Below are 20,858 nucleotides of genomic sequence, written 5' to 3' on the forward strand. Positions count from 1 at the left end.
GGCCCAGGTGACTTTCCTGAAGCAAGAGGCCCCAAGAGCAGGAAGGACTAGGCATACTCAGTGCACAGCAGGGAAACCCAGGGAGGGACCAGGGACCATGGGGGCCGCAAAGGTGGTGATGGGGAAGCCTAGGGGGATGGGGGATGGGGCAGCAGGAGGGGCTGGGAGAGACAGGACAGCCTGGGGAGGTTCCTGTGACCCCCAAGCCCACTCTGCCCTTGCCCCCCAAGCAGGCCTGGGGAATGCCATGCCCTCCCCGAGAAAGAGAGCTCCTAGGCCAAGTCCTCATGGGGAACCTCTGTAGGGTGCAGCATTGTGCACTTTGGCAAGTTGGAGGCTCTGAGAGAGACTTCTGATCTCATGAGCCCACAACTCATGTTCCACGAAAATGCTTTGGGAAAAGCTAGTCTGAACTGGCCAGAGGTGTCTGTCTCCCCAGAGATTCTGGCAGCTGCCGGCGAGGACCTCACACACAGCGCCACATCATAGCAGCCATTCCTGGGTGTGGGTCTTCTTTTACCCTTGCTAGTGACTCAGATGGATAGCCTGTGAGTGCTCTCGTTAAAGTCAGATTGAACCTTAATTGAGCACCAAGAAGGTGCATGACATTCCGAGAGAGAGCTCTGGGCAGGAGGAGCACAGGCAGGTCCCTCGGGGAGCCGTGTCCAGACCTGCAGGAACGGGAGGCTCTGTGGGTTTATCAGAGAGGGTCTTGAGAACTTCTGCTTCCAGCCGTGATAAACAGATTTATCTTCCAAGCCTAATTAAATGCAAAACACAAGAAAACACGTGAAACAAATGTTTTCAGACATTGGATAAGAAGCTGGGGACAGGGATGCCTCAGAGAAGAGAAACAACTCTCCCACATCTAGAACGAACAGCCAGACGGCCTCAAAACCTCTGTTTCAACAGCCACATGGCCTCGAAACCTCTGTGTTTCAACAGCCAGAGGGCCTCGAAACCTCTGTGTTTCAAGAGTCCTTGTACCTGCTGTGAAGTTTGTCAGAGTAAACTTCAGTGTGTGCAAATCTCAGAGGAGGGCCAGGCTCTGGTGGGTTCTAGGGCCCCCCAACCTGTGCCCAGATTGGCACAGACTTCCTAAGCATGAACATCGTGATGCATGGAGAATAAACTGACATGATGGACTTCATAAAAATTAAGTTTTTGCTCTTCTAAACATAGTACTAATCAAGTAAAAAGGCAGACAAGAGTAAAATACTTTCAGTACATATCTTCAACTCAACGATCAGACAGACAACTCAGTTTTGTTTTTAAGATGAAAGATTTGAACATTCATCACAAAAGAAGACATAAGAATGGTCAGTAAGCACAAGAAAATGTATTTAACATCATTAGTTACCAGGAAAGATAAATTTAAGCCACAGAGAGAGTTAAGGCTCTGCTACCACGGAGGCCAGGCCGAAAGGCCAAGTGGCGTTTTGGCAGGCGGGCAGCAGGGTGGCACTGCTGGCGAGAGTGCAGATGGTCCAGCCACTCCAGAAAGCAGGCTGGCAGTTTTTATGAAATTAAAAATTTGCTGCCCCATGCCCCAGCAACCTCCCTCCTCAGTGTTCACCCAGGAAAAAGGAAAACACTCATGCTTCCACGCAAACCGACACAGGGACTCTCACCGCTTCAGCTGTGATCTCCACAGACTGGGAGCTTCCACGCAGACCAGCAGCAGGACTCTCACCGCTTCAGCTGTGATCTCCACAGACTGGGAAAACACCAACGGCCATCCACCAGGGGGTGGAAGAGCTGCATTGTGTCCATAGTGTGAGACGCTGGCCTGCAGCACAGAGAAAGCAGAGGACACGCTCGGCAAGGTGGGCGAGTCCTGACACCGCTGGCCCGAAGAGACCCACTCGCAGAGAGCGGAGACCACCCAGAGAGAATAGCCAGGTGTTAGCCTGCGGGGAACAGCCATTTATGTGAGACTCAACGGCAGCGAGGGAGGCAGGGGTCTCCCACCTGGCGCATCACAGGCCTCGTCCTTGGGGGTGACGGAGATGCTCCGTGTCATGGTCACACGGCGGTTCCATGACACTTGTCAAAATTCATCACATGCTGAAAGTTATACCTCAAGAAAGTAGGTTTATGAAAAGGAGGCAGCAATGGGGTTTTTGTTGTTAAAGGTTGAAGAGATAGGGAGGGGTTGTTCAAAGAAAGTTAACAAAAGTAATTAAAGATTTCGAGGGAAGTACAACAGTGTTGTACAAGTTTAACGTAATAAAGAAATTAAAGATTGAATTTCTGGATAGAGTTCTCTAAGCATGTAGATATTTAGTGCCCAGCAGTAACTCATCAAGAAAACAGAATGATGTGAAATAGACTAAAAGTACCTTAGAAGAAAATGTTTCATATAGAACCTACAATAGTTTTAAAAATAGAACGGTCTGCATTTAGTGACCGTGGAATCTCAGTCATATTAAAACAGAATATAACCTTTAGGTATCCGCATGTTTCAAGGCTAAAATATAACGTGGTGTCATGGGTGTTTCTGGTTCTCTGCCACGGGGTAACTTTCCCAACTTGAGATAACTATGAGAGTGTGTTCTCATAGGTGACAATGTCATTTAACAACAACAAAAAAAACCCCAGCCAAGTGCAGTGGCTCATGCCTGTAATCCCAGCACTTTGGGAGGCCGAGTTGGGAAGATTTCTTGAGACTAGGAGTGTGAGACCAGCCTGGGAAACATGGTGAGACCCTATCTCTACAGGAGAACATTAGCTGGGCATGGTGGTACACACCCGCGGTCCTAGCTACTCAGGAGGCTGAGGTGAGAGGATCAGCTGAGCCCAGGAGGTCAAGGCTGCAGTGAGTCATGATTGCACCATTGTACTCCAGCCTGGGCCACAGAGTGAGACCGTGTCTCAAAAAAAAAAAAAAAAAAAAAAAAAAAACCCAGCCCCACTTCCGGCCCAGCTCCACTTCCAGGACGGTGGGAGGTGAGGTAGATGGGTTCCTCCCTGCTCCTTCTGCTAAGTTCAGCTGGAAACAGAAGGCTCTGAGTGGAGAGCGAGGTGAACAGAGGGGGCAAGGGGCGAGGCGGCAGGAGCTCCCCGGGTTTTCCAGCAGCTGGAGCTGAAGGAGCCGGCAGCCTGGAAACGCCCATGGGTGCAGAAATTTAAAATTTGAAAGTCCCAGCGAGGTCCCAGCCTCTCCAACCGTGGGTCCACGAAAGGGGCACCAGGAAGACAGATGGCTTTCAGATGATCGTCACTCTACTCCAGCCAGACGCCAGGGAAGGGCTGTGCCCACCTCCCCCTCCCCAAAAAGGCAAGTGGAGAGCTGAAAGTGCCACTTCACGAGATGCAGCGATGCACCCGGCATCTGCAGGGTGATGGAATGGGAGGAGGCAGGACTGCATCCCCAGTGAAGGGGTAATGAGCCCCTCAGTGTCGGCAGAGGCCGCATGGGGAGCCTTAACCCCTGCCCCTGCACAGCAGCAAAAACAGCGCCCTCCTTTCCCCACCAGAGCAGGGTCAGCACCCTTCAGAAAATTCAGTCTTTACCCGGAATGTCAGGGGTTTCCATCAGAGTCCCTTGCCATACCAAGAACCAGGAAGATTTCAAGGTGAATGGAAAAAAGACAGTCAATAGAAGCCAGCCCTGAGATGGCAGAGATGCTAGAATTCTCTGACAAAGACTGGGAAACAGTCATTACCAACATACTGGGAGCAAATGGCAAAATAGAACAGCCCAGCAGACAAGATACAGAGCAGAACCAAATGGAAATCTTAGAGATGAGAAATAACCCAGACAAAAAAAAATGCCGTGACTGGGCTCAGCAGCAAAATAGAAGGGACAGAGGGAGGACGCAGTGAACTGGAAGACAGAAAAACAGAAAGTCCTCAATCTGAACAAGAGAGAAAACTGACTGAAAAAAAATGGATCAGAGCCTCAGGGACAGCAAGATGGTAATTCTACCGTTTGTGCCGTGGGAGCCCCGGCCGCTGTACCGTTTGTGCCGTGGGAGTTCCAGGGGAGAAGAGACAGGGCAGGGCTAGGAACTTACTTGAAGGAATAAAGGTGAAAACCTCCCAGATTTGGCAAAAGACATAAATGTATAGATTCAAGAAGGTAAGCAAACCCTGAACAGGACAGTCAAATTCACACCAAGATAATCATAATCAAACTGATGAAAACCAGAGACAAACCCATTGAAAGCAGCCAGTGAGGAGACGGGGTACGTTGGGGATGACTGGAAACCCTGCAGGCAGAGGGACTCAAGTGCCGGAGAAAGGCCTCATGGGCACGGCACACTGCAGCCAGTGACGGCCGCTTCCGGAAAGGAAAGGGGGTGTTGGCAAGACTCGTGTCCAGCAGTGCTTAAAGATTCTCCAAGCTCAGCCATGAAGGGGCAGTCCAGTTAGGAAAAGGACAGAAGGCGCAGAGACGGCCACCCTGTGTGTGAGGGGACGCACAGACCACAAGCAAGCCGGTGAAATGATGAGCGCATCGTCAGCCACAGAGACCAGGTTAGACCACAGGATGCTCCGCCTCACGCCTGCCAGAATTGTGAGGAAGAGTCACAGAAACTGGATAGCTCTTACATTGCTGTAGGAGTGTAAATCCTACCATCTGGAAGATGTCCTAGCACTCATGCTCCTGAGCGTTTATACCCTCTCACTCGGCACTCGTTTCCAAACCTAGCACTCACGCTCCTGGGCGTTTATACCATCTCACTCGGCACTCCTGTCCAAAATAAATGGAAACTTCACCAAAAAACCTGTGCAGTGAATATTTACAGCAGTTTTATTTGTGATCAAAAACTAGGACCAACCCAGATGTAACTTCAGTGGTTAAGCACACTGTGGTTCATTTGCCTGCCACAAAATAGTAGTCAGCAATAGAAAGAAATAAGCTACTGACACAGCAGCAACCTAGATGAATCTCCAGAGAATTGCGCTGTGTAAAAGACGCCAGTCCCCGAAGTTAACCTGCTGTACAGTTCCATTTGCATAGCATTCCATTTGCATAGCATTCTTGAAATGACCAGATTAGAGATGGGGAACGGATTCATGGTGGCCAGGGATTAGGGAGGAGGCAGCAGAGGGAAGTGGTTGCAGCTGCAGAGCAGCCGCAGGAGGGACCCTGTGTGAGGGGTGCTCTGGGTCTGGAGGTGTCTGTGTGAGGGATGCTCTGGGTCTGGAGGTGTCCGTGTGAGGGACCCTGTGTGAGGGATGCTCTGGGTCTGGAGGTGTCTGTGTGAGGGGTGTCCTGGGTCTGGAGGTGTCCGTGTGAGGGACCCTGTGTGAGGGATGCTCTGGGTCTGGAGGTGTCTGTGTGAGGGGTGCCCTGGGTCTGGAGGTGTCTGTGTGAGGGACCCTGTGTGAGGGGTGCTCTGGGTCTGGAGGTGTCTGTGTGAGGGGTGTCCTGGGTCTGGAGGTGTCCGTGTGAGGGACCCTGTGTGAGGGATGCTCTGGGTCTGGAGGTGTCTGTGTGAGGGACCCTGTGTGAGGGGTGCTCTGGGTCTGGAGGTGTCTGTGTGAGGGGTGCCCTGGGTCTGGAGGTGTCCGTGTGAGGGACCCTGTGTGAGGGGTGCTCTGGGTCTGGAGGTGTCTGTGTGAGGGGTGTCCTGGGTCTGGAGGTGTCCGTGTGAGGGACCCTGTGTGAGGGGTGCTCTGGGTCTGGAGGTGTCTGTGTGAGGGGTGCCCTGGGTCTGGAGGTGTCCGTGTGAGGGACCCTGTGTGAGGGGTGTCCTGGGTCTGGAGGTGTCTGTGTGAGGGACCCTGTGTGAGGGATGCTCTGGGTCTGGAGGTGTCTGTGTGAGGGGTGCCCTGGGTCTGGAGGTGTCCGTGTGAGGGACCCTGTGTGAGGGGTGCCCTGGGTCTGGAGGTGTCTGTGTGAGGGGTGTCCTGGGTCTGGAGGTGTCCGTGTGAGGGACCCTGTGTGAGGGATGCTCTGGGTCTGGAGGTGTCTGTGTGAGGGGTGCCCTGGGTCTGGAGGTGTCTGTGTGAGGGACCCTGTGTGAGGGGTGCTCTGGGTCTGGAGGTGTCTGTGTGAGGGGTGTCCTGGGTCTGGAGGTGTCCGTGTGAGGGACCCTGTGTGAGGGATGCTCTGGGTCTGGAGGTGTCTGTGTGAGGGACCCTGTGTGAGGGGTGCTCTGGGTCTGGAGGTGTCTGTGTGAGGGGTGCCCTGGGTCTGGAGGTGTCCGTGTGAGGGACCCTGTGTGAGGGGTGCTCTGGGTCTGGAGGTGTCTGTGTGAGGGGTGTCCTGGGTCTGGAGGTGTCCGTGTGAGGGACCCTGTGTGAGGGATGCTCTGGGTCTGGAGGTGTCCGTGTGAGGGACCCTGTGTGAGGGATGCTCTGGGTCTGGAGGTGTCTGTGTGAGGGGTGCCCTGGGTCTGGAGGTGTCCGTGTGAGGGACCCTGTGTGAGGGGTGCCCTGGGTCTGGAGGTGTCTGTGTGAGGGGTGCCCTGGGTCTGGAGGTGTCCGTGTGAGGGACCCTATGTGAGGGATGCTCTGGGTCTGGAGGTGTCTGTGTGAGGGGTGCCCTGGGTCTGGAGGTGTCCGTGTGAGGGACCCTGTGTGAGGGGTGCTCTGGGTCTGGAGGTGTCTGTGTGAGGGGTGCCCTGGGTCTGGAGGTGTCCGTGTGAGGGACCCTGTGTGAGGGGTGCCCTGGGTCTGGAGGTGTCTGTGTGAGGGGTGCCCTGGGTCTGGAGGTGTCCGTGTGAGGGACCCTGTGTGAGGGGTGCCCTGGGTCTGGAGGTGTCTGTGTGAGGGGTGCTCTGGGTCTGGAGGTGTCCGTGTGAGGGACCCTGTGTGAGGGGTGCTCTGGGTCTGGAGATGTCTGTGTGAGGGGTGTCCTGGGTCTGGAGGTGTCCGTGTGAGGGACCCTGTGTGAGGGATGCTCTGGGTCTGGAGGTGTCTGTGTGAGGGACCCTGTGTGAGGGATGCTCTGGGTCTGGAGGTGTCTGTGTGAGGGGTGCCCTGGGTCTGGAGGTGTCCGTGTGAGGGACCCTGTGTGAGGGGTGCTCTGGGTCTGGAGGTGTCTGTGTGAGGGGTGCCCTGGGTCTGGAGGTGTCCGTGTGAGGGACCCTGTGTGAGGGATGCTCTGGGTCTGGAGGTGTCTGTGTGAGGGGTGTCCTGGGTCTGGAGGTGTCCGTGTGAGGGACCCTGTGTGAGGGGTGCTCTGGGTCTGGAGGTGTCTGTGTGAGGGGTGCCCTGGGTCTGGAGGTGTCTGTGTGAGGGACTCTGTGTGAGGGGTGCTGTGGGTCTGGAGGTGTCTGTGTGAGGGACCCTGTGTGAGGGGTGCTCTGGGTCTGGAGGTGTCCGTGTGGATGCTGGTGGTGAGGTTCACACTACAGTTATCTAAGATGTTACCATTGGGAGAACTGGGTAAAGATCACATAAGATCTCGGTGCTATTCCTGACAACTGCATGTGAGTCTACAATGATCTCAACATAGAAAGGTAAACATTTTTAAAAATCATTCTTCTACCCGTAAGCATTTGTGACTTATAGAACATGCTACTGTGCTCTGAGATAAATACTCAGTCTCCGCAATCATCTTACTTGGTTGCCAACTTACTTTGTTGGTTTTTGTGGAGTATTTTTTGGTGTTTTTGAAGCTGTGACCTCTAATCCAGAGGTCTGTTTCTAGCTGTGTGGTAGAAGTTTCTCACGCCCATTGCACTCCGCTCTTGGTCTTGCAGGTATGCCACCATATACACCATGTTCCCAGTGTTCTCCTTAGTGCTGGACCAGGACGTGAAGCCAGAGATGGCGATGCTCTACCCGGAGCTGTACAAGGACCTCACCAAGGTACGGGCCTCAGGCAAGCTGTCTGCCTCACGACTAGCACCCACATCTAGCATTTTACACGAGTGAGAAACAGGCCAGTCAGGAGGCATTTCCAGGCATTTTGTGAAAAACGATTCTCTGTCCTTGAAGATGTTTTTTATGTCTCCTAATTGTTGTTGGCATTTTCTCTTTGAGTTAAACTTCAAAAGGGGAAAAACATCTCAGGGAAAAAAATTTCTCAAATGTTTGCAATAAAGCTCTAATATCATACATACAATTAGAATTGTAAAAGATATTCTAACCATTTGTGGAACTTTTGTGAAGTGAGCTCACCAAATGTCAGAGAAGATCTCACTGTGTAATTTCTGTAGAAAGGCTCCCCCGGACAGCGTCACTGCACCTGCTGCAGAAATAGCATTCCAAAGCTGGGGAACCCATGGGCTGCATGTTTCCTGTGTATTTCCAAGTTTGTCAGTAGTTGTGGATTTCAGAATTATCCCTGAAAAGTGATAACATGTGTCTGTCCCTAGGGTCCATAGACTATTTTTGCAGTGATGTCACCAAGAAAAAAATCCACCCCAGAAAACTTCAGTCACCTGAAACTCTGAGAAAGATGGATTTATTTGGCTTAAAACTGTGCTCTGTTAGGATTAAAGGAGGCTTTGAATTTATCATATTCTTTACGACAGCATATTTTATAGCATAGAACGTGTAAGGATACGGGGTAGAAGAGAGGCTCAGCTCTGCAGACACAAATCATGGTAACTCTGGTATTTTCCACAAAGCTAGCTGTTTTGAATCAACATTGAAAACAAAATCCACTAACCGCAATTAAATTTAGATTTACAATCGATAAATGACAGGTGTCTGAAATTATCAACTCAGATTTTTAAAGCAGTAGCTGTATGGTAAAGAAAGAATTAGATTAGGCATTAAAAAAGAAAGCTAATGACTACCTAGCAAACAGATTCTAGTCCAGCTAACCACTAATTAACCAACTAGATTCTTACCTAGCTAACCACAAACTGAGAAACTAGACTCCTGTCTGTCTAACTAGTAACTAACAAACGATACTCTATCTAATACAGCTAACCACTAACAAGCTAGACTCTTATCCAGCTAACCACTGACAAACTAGACTCTAGTCCAGCTATAACCACTCATTAGCCAGAGAGGTGCTGGGTAAGTCATGTTAACTTTTTGATTTCTTGATGTTATTGAAATGAAATAAAGACTTTAAAGTTTCTTGAAAAAAATAAAGAATTCTCATTAGTGTTATAATCAAGACAAATAAAGCTAGTTCACCAGTATCACATGAAATATAAATACCAAGCGTTATTATCATGGTGGCATCATCGTGACTACTGGGAAGCATCGTCCCAGGTCACACCTACTATAACTAGAAGCAAGACCGCTTAAGTATCTTAAACTGATGAAACCATTGTGATAAAGTACAGCAGAGTAAGGAGCAAAGATCCAAAAACTTCGGGAAGCTAGTGTGAATAATGATCATTTTAGTAGCATATGCATTTCCTCATTCCCAGAGACTCTAAAAATGTTTACCTAAATGCTGCCTTACAAACATACGGGAACAAGCTTTTCATGTACGAAGGTAAACCTCGATGCGCTACCCTCAACCCTAGGAAACCGGCACGCAAGCAGGGCAGAGGTCACCAGGGGTCTTGTAGCCCCAGCCGGTGCTCCCGGATCGCTGTGCTGGGAGAAACTTGTCATAGGACTGTCATGCCACAGCCATCTTGACCGGCTATTGGAGTGGGGCAGTAACACGTTTTTACTGTTTTCAAGGATTTAGATTGTACGCACCAGTCTCTTTCTTTGTGGATATCTAAATGGCTCTAGTAACAAGAGGTTCATAGGGCCACAGGTGTCTGACGGAGCAGCTAATTATCCGTAACTGTGGCCATGGAATCCGTAAGTTCTGTGTTACTGGTGCCGTTGAACCCTGTTCACTTCTGATTGTGTTGGATCTCATTAAGGGTATTAAATTTCCGTTTTCGTTAAGGTGAGCAACAATTTAGAATGTTTTAGTATCCTAAAGTCAGGTCACCATCCCTACATTTTTTTTTTTTTTTGGTCAAGAATGCAGTCACTCATTTTCTCTAAGCTTCTTTTCTTCAACATCTTATCTGCATTGTAACTTTTTTTTAAATCTACTACACTTCAAATTCTTTGAAAAGAAAATAGCACTAAAGTACTGAGCCACTAAAGTTAATTTAGTTATTTTTTCTTATTGAAGCTAAAGAACTATTTTGAAGCTTTCTGTTCCTTCTGAACAGTTCGCCAAGGTAGCACAGACTGCAGCACTCTGCGTTGTTGTCTGATGATCGGGGCAGCTGGAGACTGGATGTGCCAACGCAGTTTATCCACACCGGTCAGTGTCAGTGGACACCAAGTCCCCAGTCCGTCGGCTCAAGCTCCTGCGATGTAGGACAACATAGCCCTGCTCTCAACAAGTCTGTATTCTAGTCAGGATGAGAAAGCAGTGAATCAGTGGCATAGAGCAACAGCATAAAGGGCCGCGGCCTGCAGTGTGAGTAACAACAGCATAAAGGGCCGCGGACTGAAATGTGAGTGGCTGACCGGCGAGTGCCGGTCCAGTCAGTTCTGAGTCACATATCTCAGGTCACCGTAAATTTATAAAATACCTTCAGAGGCGAGCCAGGGAGGCAAGGCATGCATTCCCTGCACACAGGAGAAGACTCAATTGGAAAGAAAATCTCCTCTTTTTTATGTGTATTTGATAACCAGTCTTTATAATCTAAAAGTACAAATAAGGCACGCATTATAAATCTCACTTATTGTCCTAATGAGTTAGCCAACCTCAAGTATAAACATTTGTCCCCTGCTGTGTCTCGATGGCCTGAGCCACACATCGACACAGTATCTGTTAAGTAAGTATTTGATAAACAAATGAGGCAGTGAATGAATCAGTTAAACAAAGAGTCAGGATTTCCTTCGCTTTCCTAAAACTGTGTAGCTTTTATTCTTTACAGAAAATGGTATATTTGCAACACTATTTTGTTATTCTTTTGAAGCTCAAATTCTGCTTTGAATTATTAAACTTTACTCACGATGAGTTCAGGCACTTAATTTTCTGGATGCCAGTAAGACGGGAAACTGACCTACTCATCTCTCTCCTAACTCTGCACATGTCTTCATTCATTCTGAATGGTGTGTAACCGCTTAGGGAAGCTAGTTACTCCAAGATCCAGGCATCAGGACTAGTAAGGTGACCCTGGTTAAGTGAGCCAGCTCACGTGGTCCCAAAATATCTCAGACTGTGGCTGTGAATTTTGTTACCAATTCATAATCTTACATTACCAGCTAACTCCAGAGACATTTGATTTGTAGTTGTGCTAATTGTAAAGATATCAAGTAGGTAATATACAGTTCTTCATGAAATCTCTGGTGCCATTAGGTATTGAACCATTCGGACCCCTTCACTAATTTTTATTTTCTGTAGAATACTCTCAAATGGTTTTATCTTTTGAAATGTATATTTGTATACTTATATTCTTTTCAAAATAATAGTGAATAAGACAATAAAAGGAAATTTAAAACATTGAGATTAGGAAGGAGGAAATAAAAATATCTCTGTTTGTGGATGCTATAATTTTCTATGTAGAAAATTCCAAGGAATCCACACACATACAACCTCCTATACTTGTAAACTTCATAAAGTTTCAGGATACAAGGAATAATTTTTCAAAATCATTTTTGATTCTGTACACTAGCAATGAATAATTGGGGTTTGAAAAAATTTGTAAACATTTATAATAATACATTTAAGCATTTATAATACAAGAAAGTGAGACACTGAAGTGTACCTCTAACAAAATACACCCAAGATCTGTGTGCTGGAAACCAACAACATTGAGGAAAGAAACTGTAAAAGGCGTAAACAGATGTTCCTGGATTGAGAGACGTAAACAGATGTTCCTGGAATGGGAGGCATAAACAGATGTTCCTGGATCAAGAGGCATAAACAGATGTTCCTGGATTGAGAGACGTAAACAGATGTTCATGGATTGAGAGGCATAAACAGATGTTCATGGATTGAGAGGCGTAAACTGATGTTCCTGGATTGAGAGGCGTAAACCCATATTCCTGGATTGAGAGGCGTAAGCAGATGTTCATGGTTTGAGAGACGTAAACTGATGTTCCTGGATTGAGAGACATAAACAGATGTTCCTGGATTCGGAGGCATAAACAGATGTTCATGGATTGAGAGGCATAAACCCATATTCCTGGATTGAGAGGCGTAAGCAGATGTTCATGGTTTGAGAGACGTAAACAGATATTCCTGGATTGGGAGGCGTAAACAGATGATCCTGGAATGAGAGGCGTAAACAGATGTTCCTGGGTTGGGAGGCGTAAACAGATGTTCCTGGATTGAGCCTCAATTAGATGTTCATGGATTGAGAGCCTCAGTATTGCTTCACATTGACAAGCTCACTCTAGAATTTATATGGCAAGGCAAGGGAACTCGAATTGCCAAAATAATTTAGAAAATAACAGAGTTGGGCCGGGCGCGGTGGCTCACGCCTGTAATCCCAGCACTTTGGGAGGCCGAGACGGGCGGATCACGAGGTCAGGAGATCGAGACCATCCTGGCTAACACGGTGAAACACCGTCTCTACTAAAAATACAAAAATTAGCTGTGCATGGTGGCGCGCACCTGTAGTCCCAGCTACACGGGAGGCTGAGGCAGGAGAATGGCGTGAACCCGGGAGGCGGAGCTTGCAGTGAGTCGAGATCGCGCCACTGCACTCCAGCCTGGGCGACAGAGCGAAACTCCGTCTCAAAAAAAAAAAAAAAGAAAAGAAAAAAAAGAAAATAACAGAGTTGGAAAACACACTACCTGATTCCAAGACTTACTGTAAAACAGTAATCAGTTAGACAATGTGTTATTGTCAAAAGGATAGACAAAAAGATCGGTGGAACAGAAAAGAGAGCCCAGAAATACATCACATGTGTCAGATGATCTTTGGCAAACATGAGAGGAAATCAGAAGGAGAAGAGTTGTGTCTGCAGCTGTTGGGACAATTCGCCGCCCATGAGCAACAGACCCACAACCTCCACCTCACACTTCATGTGAAAATCCACCCAAAGTGGACCCTTGACCTATATGTAAAGCTATAAACCTTTCAGAAGAAAATACACACAAAATATGCATGACCTTGGGTTAAGCAAAGAGTTTTTAATCATGAGATCAAAATCATGATCCTTAAAGGAAAAAAATAATAAATTAGACTTTACCATAATTTAAAAGTTTTGGCCAGGTGCAGTGGCTTATCATGCCTGTAATACCATCACTTTGGGAGGCTGAAGCAGGAGGATAACTTGAGCCCAGAAGCTCAATACCAGTCTGGGCAATATAGTGAGACCGTGTCTCTACAAAACATAGAAAAAAATGAGCTGAGCATGGTGGTTGCTGTGTGCCTGTAGTCCCAGCTGCTCAGGGGGCTAAGGTGGAAGGATTGCTTGAGCTGAGGAGTTGGAGGCTGCAGTGAGCTGTGATTGAGCCACTGCACTCCAGCCTGGGTGACAGAGCGAGACCTTGTCTCAAAAAAAAAAAGTTTTTCTCTCTGAATGATACTGTTAATGAAAAAACAAGCCACAGCCTAGAAGGAAATATTTGCATGTCACACTTTTGATAAAGGAGTTGTTTCTATAGTATATAAGAAACCCCCAAAATTCAACAAGAGAACAACCCAGTTTTTAAAGTAGACAGAAGATATTAACAGACACCACCCCAGAGATAATCCACAGATGGCAAGGAAGCCTGTGAAGATGCTCAGTGCCATTTTCATCAGGGAACTGCAAGTTGAAGCCACCGTGAGATGCCGTGTACCCACCCGTGCTAGAACAGCCGAAATACCAGCAACGTGAAAGGCTGGGGAGGGTCCAGAGCAGCAGAGACTCCCCTTCACTGCTAGGGTGAAGGGAGAATGATACAGCCTCTTCGGAAGACAGTTTGGGCATTTCTTACAAAGGTAAACATGTATTTACCCCATGACCCAGTAGTCCTGTTCCTAGGTATTTCTCCAAGAGAAATGAAAACTTAGATTCATACTAAATCCTATATATGAATGTTCACAGCAGCACTGTCATAACTGCCAGAAGCTGGAAACAACCTTGTGCCCTTCAGCCAGTGGGCAGAAGGATGTCTCCGTGGACAGGGACAGCCCATGCGTGGATGGAAGGACATCTCCGTGGACGGGGACAGCTCCCGCGTGATGGAAGGACATCTCTGTGGACGGGGACAGCCCATGCGTGATGGAAGGACATCTCCGTGGACAGGGACAGTCCATGCGTGGATGGAGGACAACTCCGTGGACGGGGACAGCCCGTGTGTGATGGAAGGACATCTCCGTGGACGGGGACAGCTTGTGCGTGGATGGAAGGACATCTCCGTGGACGGGGACAGCCTGTGTGTGATGGAAGGACATCTCCGTGGACAGGGACAGCCTGTGTGTGATGGAAGGACATCCTAGTGGACATGGCCAGCCTGTGTGTCATGCCACCAGGCAGTGGGATTGTGCTTAGCAGTGAGGGGTTACTGCTGACTCACATGACATGATGGATCATACATTGTGCATTTTGCTGTGCAGCAGAAGCCAGACTTGAAAGCTGGTATTGATTCTTTTTACCGGACACCTGGGAGGTGCAGAACTGTAGGGAAGAGACCCGTCCGTGGTCGCTAAAGGTTTGAGTGTAGAGGGTGACCGGAGAGGCATCCCGAGGGGGTGTGGGTGTGGAAGCTGCTCTGTCTGGCGCGGTGGTGGCGGACACCTGACCGTGCCTCTCTCAGAGCCCGCTGGACGGCACCAGCATGGAGCTAAGGGAGGAGGAATGCAGACAGCGGCCCATGAACCGCAGAACCACACTGTGGGCTGGGAAGAAAGGAGCTCTTTTCAGTGGCCTTGGGAAAGGCGTTTGACTGTGGTTCACTGTAAGGCTGAAGACAAAAAGAACTGCAAACCGTGGGCTGCGTTTGGCATTTGCTTCTTACAGGAATCAATAAGCCCATGCATGGTAGCTAATGAGAAGCAGATTTCTCCCTGTTAGCGATGAAGTTAGAAATGAAGGGCTGGATTGAAGCCCAGATCAGTTTGGGCTTGTGGTTTCTGTGAGATAAATAAATAGATGAAGAAATAAACACGGACATGTGTGAGCATGACTTAGTAAACACACACAGTCCTAGGCCATACACCGAGTGGCTAGAATCAGGAACCAGGCGGTAGTGAGCAAGCTCAGTGTTGCAGATTATGCGGACGAGACCCTGTGCCGTCCCCCACCACGCAGAGCCCTAGAGAAGGGGTTAATTCCAGGGCTGAGGCAAGGGAAATACAAGATGAGCCTGAAACTTCTTGTGGAGCAAAAAAGTAAGGAACTGCTGAACAAGAATCAGTGAGGCTGGTGCGGGAGGCAGGTCTGACGGCGTCAGAGGCTGAGCCTCCCACGGGCTAGCACTGAACACCCTGCACAGCAACCTAGACAGCAGCATGACTAGATGATAACCAGAGAGCACACAGATACCTTCACCTCCACCGTGTGTACGCAGAGAAAGTGCCTCCTCAACCAGAGAGCACACATATCTTCACCTCCACCGTGTGTACGCAGAGAAAGTGCCTCCTCAACCAGAGAGCACACATATCTTCACCTCCACCGTGTGTACGCAGAGAAAGCGCCTCCTCAACCAGAGAGCACACAGATACCTTCACCTCCACCGTGTGTATGCAGAGAAAGTGCCTCCTCAACCAGAGAGCACACATATCTTCACCTCCACCGTGTGTACGCAGAGAAAGTGCCTCCTCAACCAGAGAGCACACATATCTTCACCTCCACCGTGTGTACGCAGAGAAAGTGCCTCCTCAACCAGAGAGCACACATATCTTCACCTGCACTGTGTGTACGCAGAGAAAGTGCCTCCTCAACCAGAGAGCACACATATCTTCACCTCCACCGTGTGTACGCAGAGAAAGTGCCTCCTCAACCAGAGAGCACACATATCTTCACCTGCACTGTGTGTACGCAGAGAAAGTGCCTCCTCAACCAGAGAGCACACAGATATCTTCACCTCCACCATGTGTACGCAGAGAAAGCGCCTCCTCAACCAGAGGATTCCAGTTATAAATGGTGAAGGAACCAGGGCAGTTGGAGGCCCCGCTGGGGCACCAAGGCAGCAGCCACTGTCACGAGGTCTTCCAAGGGAAGTGGAACTCCAGGGTCACAGTTCCCATCACCAGGGATGAGAGAGGCCACCACACCTCCTGCTGTGGAGCCCTGCAGGGGACACGTGTCTCCTCAACAAATCCTCCCCAGTAGTGTCATCAGTAGAAGACATCAGACAAGTCGAAATCAAGGGCATTCCAAAAAGACATGTCCGGAGCTTTGAGGAGCAGCCAGGTCATTAAGGACGGGGAGACAGAGGCGCTGGCCAGATCACAGAGCCCAGGAGACATCACGGCCAGAGCAGCGTGGGGTCCTGTGTGGGGCCCTGGGCAGGAAAAGCACATTTGAGAAAAACCAGGACCTCCACACCATTTCTCTGCCACGGTGCGTGTCTGTGTCTCCATGGAGTGTCGCCCTGGGTGGGCTGGAGGGCGCCATGGCCCCGGGTGAGCTGGACGGCGCCGTGGCCCCGGGTGAGCTGGAGGGCGCCATGGGGCTGTCTGCGCTGCTTCTGCAGCTTCCCTGCAAGTCTAAAGTGATTTCAAGGCAAAATGATTAGAAAACGGAGTCAGAGCCAAGAAAGTCTTCAATTTTCCTAGGATAGATGAACAGAATTGGGCATGGCGCCAGGTGCCTGTGGTCCCAGCTGCCCGGGCTGGAGAATCACTTGAGCCTGGAAGGTCGAGGCTGCGGTGAGCTGTGATCGCACCACTGCACCCCATCCCTCGGCAACAGATCAGGACCCTGTCTCTACAAAAACAGGACTGTGTTTGCAAAGCTGCAGTCTTATCCTTCAAAGTGTGGAGTTCAAAACCAGCCCATGTCTGCGCCTGGCCCTGGCCCAGTTGCGAGCACTCTGTGGCAGCAAGTCCACCTTTAGGTGCACACTCTCTGCTTGGTGGCTCTCATTTAACCTGTCCTGTAATATTTGAACTTTCTGTCCAGTAATATTTGAAGTTCATTTTATATTCTAAGAGATGTATTTAATGAAATTGAGCTTATCCATGTAAGAATGAAGGAATGAGACCCTGAAGAAATCAGTCACCGTAATTTCAGACCATTAATAGAAGAAATAAAAGTGACAGTGGAGTGAGTGTGGCAAGCAGAAGAGCTGTCGGGAACGTCACCTGCCCACCCCTTTGCTGTAGGACCCTACCACCAGCATACTCCGTCGTTGGCACCCTCGTCGTTGGCACGTCTCTACCCTCAGCAGAGCAGGCCAGGCACTGAACGGCAGGAAGCCCACACTTCCTCCCCAGCTTCCCTTCCTGCCAAGGCCAGAGACGCGTGCAGAGCCCCAGTTAATTGGGGCTTCTCTCCCCGGCGCCACCGTGAGCACCGTCCTTCCCTCTCTGTTTGGAGGGTTTGTTCTTGATATGCTTTGACTGCACTTTTTCTCCTCTTGCATCTGCCTATAGGATCTTTCTACTCCACACTCCCAAACTTCTCTCAAATAATTACAATTATGGGAACAGGCGAAATTTGTTGTTGTTGTTGTTCTAGTAAGAATCAGATTGGGAGGCCGAGGCGGGCGGGTCACGAGGTCAGGAGATCGAGACCATCCTGGCCAACACCGTAAAACCCCGTCTCTACTAAAAATACAAAAAAAATGAGCCGGGCGTGGTGGCTCACGCCTGTAATCCCAGCACTTTGGGAGGCCGAGGCGGGCGGGTCACGAGTCAGGAGATCGAGACCAGCCTGGCTCACACGGTGAAACCCCGTCTCTACTAAAATACAAAAAAATTAGCTGGGTGTGGTGGCGGGCGCCTGTAGTCCCAGCTACTCGGGAGGCTGAGGTAGGAGAATGGCGTGAACCCGGGAGGCGAAGCCTGCAGTGAGCCAAGGTCGCACCACTGCACTCCAGCCTGGGCGACAGAGCAAGAGTCCGTCTCAAAAAAAAAAAAAAAAAAAAAATCAGAGAACGTATACTGAGGAGGTAGGCTGGGAGAATAAATTATAATAGAGATAAAAGTGGTTACAGACTCAGGACAGGAGTCCTGGCATTTTGGAGTGGCTGGTCCCATGCCACGGTGCCGATCCTTGCAGAGGGACCATCTTTCACGCCACACGCGCATCAGCGTGCTCTGTGCCCCACAGCACTGAGTGCTTCCGTACGAATAACTGTACACATATGACTTTGAGGTTGGTTAATCTTTCCTTAAAATTTGCTTGATTTGGCCGGGCGCAGTGGCTCACGCTTGTAATCCCAGCACTTTGGGAGGCCGAAGCAGACAGATCACCTGAGGTCAGGAGTTCAAGACCATCCTGGCCAACATGGCAAAAGCCCATCTCTACTAAAAGTACAAAAATTAGCAGGGTGTGGTGGTGCACACTTGTAATCCCAGCTACTCGGGAGGCTGAGGCAGGAGAATCGCTTGAACCTGGGAGGCGGAGGTTGCAGTGAGCTGAGATCGTGCCACTGCACTCTAGCCTGGGCAACAGAGCAAGACTCCATCTCAAAAAAATGAAAATAAATTTTAAAAATTTGCTTGATTTTATTTTTTACAATTTTTGGTATGATAGAAATATACTTTCTGAATCCGTAATATTTAATGGTAAATATAACAGTAGCATTCAGTGAATATTTACTATGCTGCTGGCATTGTGCATATTTTATTTCATGGCTCATTTTATTTCATGCACGTGAGCCACATGCCACTATTACTTCTATTTCACAGAGGAGGGAACTGAGGCACAGAGATTAAGTCCTGAGCCCAAGAACGCAGAAGAAAGGCGTGTGCTAGGCAGGACTCCACTCCAGGCATTCCACACATACGGGGACATCAGTCAGAGTGACAGACATCTTCATCTCTTCCTAAACCAAATGAAGAGGTACCTGGCCCAGGAAGAGTGGCTTCTTCCATAACATGAAACCCATAGTGAATGAATTGCTTCTATGAGTAACGTGTCTGTACCATCAAATATAACAGGATTTTGTTCTCAGAGCTACAGTCTGGGAGCCATTAATAGGAGGTGTACGGATATTTTTCTCAAATTATCTATTTTGTTGATGTTTTTTGTACCCATTCTGTTGTGTTTGCTTTTATTAATCTATAATATCATCTGCTTCAATATGGAACACCCCACAGGTGCAGGTCTGAGGTGCTCCCTGTTGGCAGCTCCTAAAGAGAGGCAGCACAGACACCACTTCGTCTTCCACATAGACACCAATCATTGACCTACATGAATAAAACTGAATACATTTCAGCAAATCAGGCCACAGAATAAGCCTTTTCTTTCTTATGTCAAAATAATTAAATTTCCTTTTACAGTTTTTGAATAAAATGAGCCACATACTTAATTACAGATGAATTTCGTGACCAAAGACCAAACACCTACCATTACCCAGGGAGAGAAATGTCCTTGGGAAATACGTACCAAGAGAACTTATTTGGAGTATATAAATGGTTTAACTTCAAAGTTTTCTGCTTTTTAAAAATCAGTGGTGCTTGGCTGGGTGCGGTGGCTCACACCTGTAATCCCAGCACTTTGGGAGGCCGAGGTGGGCGGATCATGAGGTCAAGAGATCAAGACCATCCTGGCCAACATGGTGAAACCCCCTCTCTACTGAAAATGCAAAAATTATCTGGGCATGGTGGCAGGCGCCTATAGTCCCAGCTACTTGGGAGGCTGAGGCAGGAGAATTGCTTGAACCTGGGAGGCAGAAGTTGCAATGAGCCAAGATCGTGCCATTGCACTCCAGCCTGGTGAAAGAGCAAGACTCCGTCTTAAAAAAAAAAAAAAAAAAAAAAAAAAAAAAACAGTAGTGCTTCTTCGTCACAGTGAATTTGAATCTTCCTTTTCATATTCACGTGTGAGGGCTCAAGCTCCGTCAGCATCTTCACACACTGACTCTTGCAGCCTAGGAAAACACTTAACATATGTCACCACACTTGTCTTTTATAATTAAACTACAACTAGAATTATAATTCATAAATCTGCCACTGGTGGCCTCCTGCAGGAATATAGCCGCATTTCCAGCGTCCGTGCCTCTGTTCTGTGATGGCTCATGCCTGTGTCTAAAGGTCTTCAGCAGACTCAGGCAGGTGCAGGTTCAGACAGGCCCTGAGCACAGCCTGTCACCATCCTCCATCTTCCCTGCTGTCTTCTGTGTCCCCTGAGCTTCCGTGAGGGTTTGTCTTTCCTCTGTGGCTCTTTAAACCACTTCCTGTCCTTAGGAGAATCTCCCCCGTGGGTGGGGAAGCCCTAAATCAGGGCAGGACTTTGGGCTCTGATCAGCAGACTACACTTCTTAGCACCACCAGCCTCCAGCAAGAACCTGAGGAAATCACGGAACTTCTCGAGTCTCCTCGTCTGTAAATGGAAACGACGTCTGCTCTGTGTAACTGAGAAAATAGATGCGAAGGTGTCAAACAAAGGCCTCACATAAAGACAGGGCCTCTCAACACGTGTCACTTTCGACAGCTCTTTAGCACCAACAAGTCAGGGCGATTGTTAATGACTCAGCCTCTCTTCTTGGACTCTAAATTAATCTTCAGGGATGCAGTGGGACAAGCAACCCCGTGGGCCAGAGCTCCCCTGCCTCCTGCCCCCTCGTCCCCTGCCTCCTGCCCCCTCGTCCCCTGCCTCCTGCCCCCTCGTCCCCTGCCTCCTGCCCCCTCGTCACCTGCCTTCAACTTCGCAGAGTGAAGGGCCTGGCGCAAGGACCCATTCCATGGGGTTATGTATGTGACATGTTCTCCAGCGAGGGTTTAAGGGATAACTTTTTACTTCAGTTGAGATGTGCCATCCTTACTGAAGAACTGTTACGTTCTGTATCTTTTGATCTGAAAAAACCAAACAGTAAATATAGAAGTATTTGTTGACAAGAAATAAGGGAAAATGTTTTTATTGCCAAGAGCCTTTCCCCCTGGTTCACTGAAATGTTTGCTTGTATACATCACTCCTGG

General features: G+C 48.9%; 1 protein-coding gene across 36 annotated transcripts in view, besides 1 other annotated feature; it reads left to right on the forward strand.

Moving 5' to 3' along the window:
• Nucleotides 1-20,858, forward strand: part of ATP9B (ATPase phospholipid transporting 9B (putative)) — a 308,890-nt gene that overhangs the window by 282,299 nt on the left and 5,733 nt on the right. For 28 of the 36 annotated variants that reach the window (NR_148360.2, XM_017025726.2, XM_011525963.3 and 25 more), the window contains one exon: nucleotides 7,662-7,770. Coding sequence is in view for 35 of the 36 variants with exons in the window: in XM_017025726.2 (XP_016881215.1) it covers nucleotides 7,662-7,770 (109 nt within the window). In the remaining variant the exon portion in view is untranslated. Of the gene's footprint in view, nucleotides 1-7,661; nucleotides 7,771-8,279; nucleotides 9,006-10,046; nucleotides 20,782-20,858 lie in introns of those variants that run through there. The other 8 variants (XM_017025737.2, XM_017025734.2, XM_047437498.1 and 5 more) reach the window with 2 other exon arrangements.
• Nucleotides 9,721-10,920: an enhancer, noted in NCBI's record as "P300/CBP strongly-dependent group 1 enhancer chr18:77121413-77122612 (GRCh37/hg19 assembly coordinates)". NCBI's record gives its function as "activates an origin of replication core promoter dependent on BRD2, BRD4, P300/CBP, MED14 and CDK7 cofactors, with strong dependence on P300/CBP, by STARR-seq in HCT116 cells {active_cell/tissue: HCT116}" and the evidence as "EXISTENCE:reporter gene assay evidence [ECO:0000049][PMID:35650434]".

The sequence above is a fragment of the Homo sapiens genome, chromosome 18 (assembly GCF_000001405.40).
Source record: "Homo sapiens chromosome 18, GRCh38.p14 Primary Assembly".
NCBI classification, from domain to species: domain Eukaryota; kingdom Metazoa; phylum Chordata; class Mammalia; order Primates; family Hominidae; genus Homo; species Homo sapiens.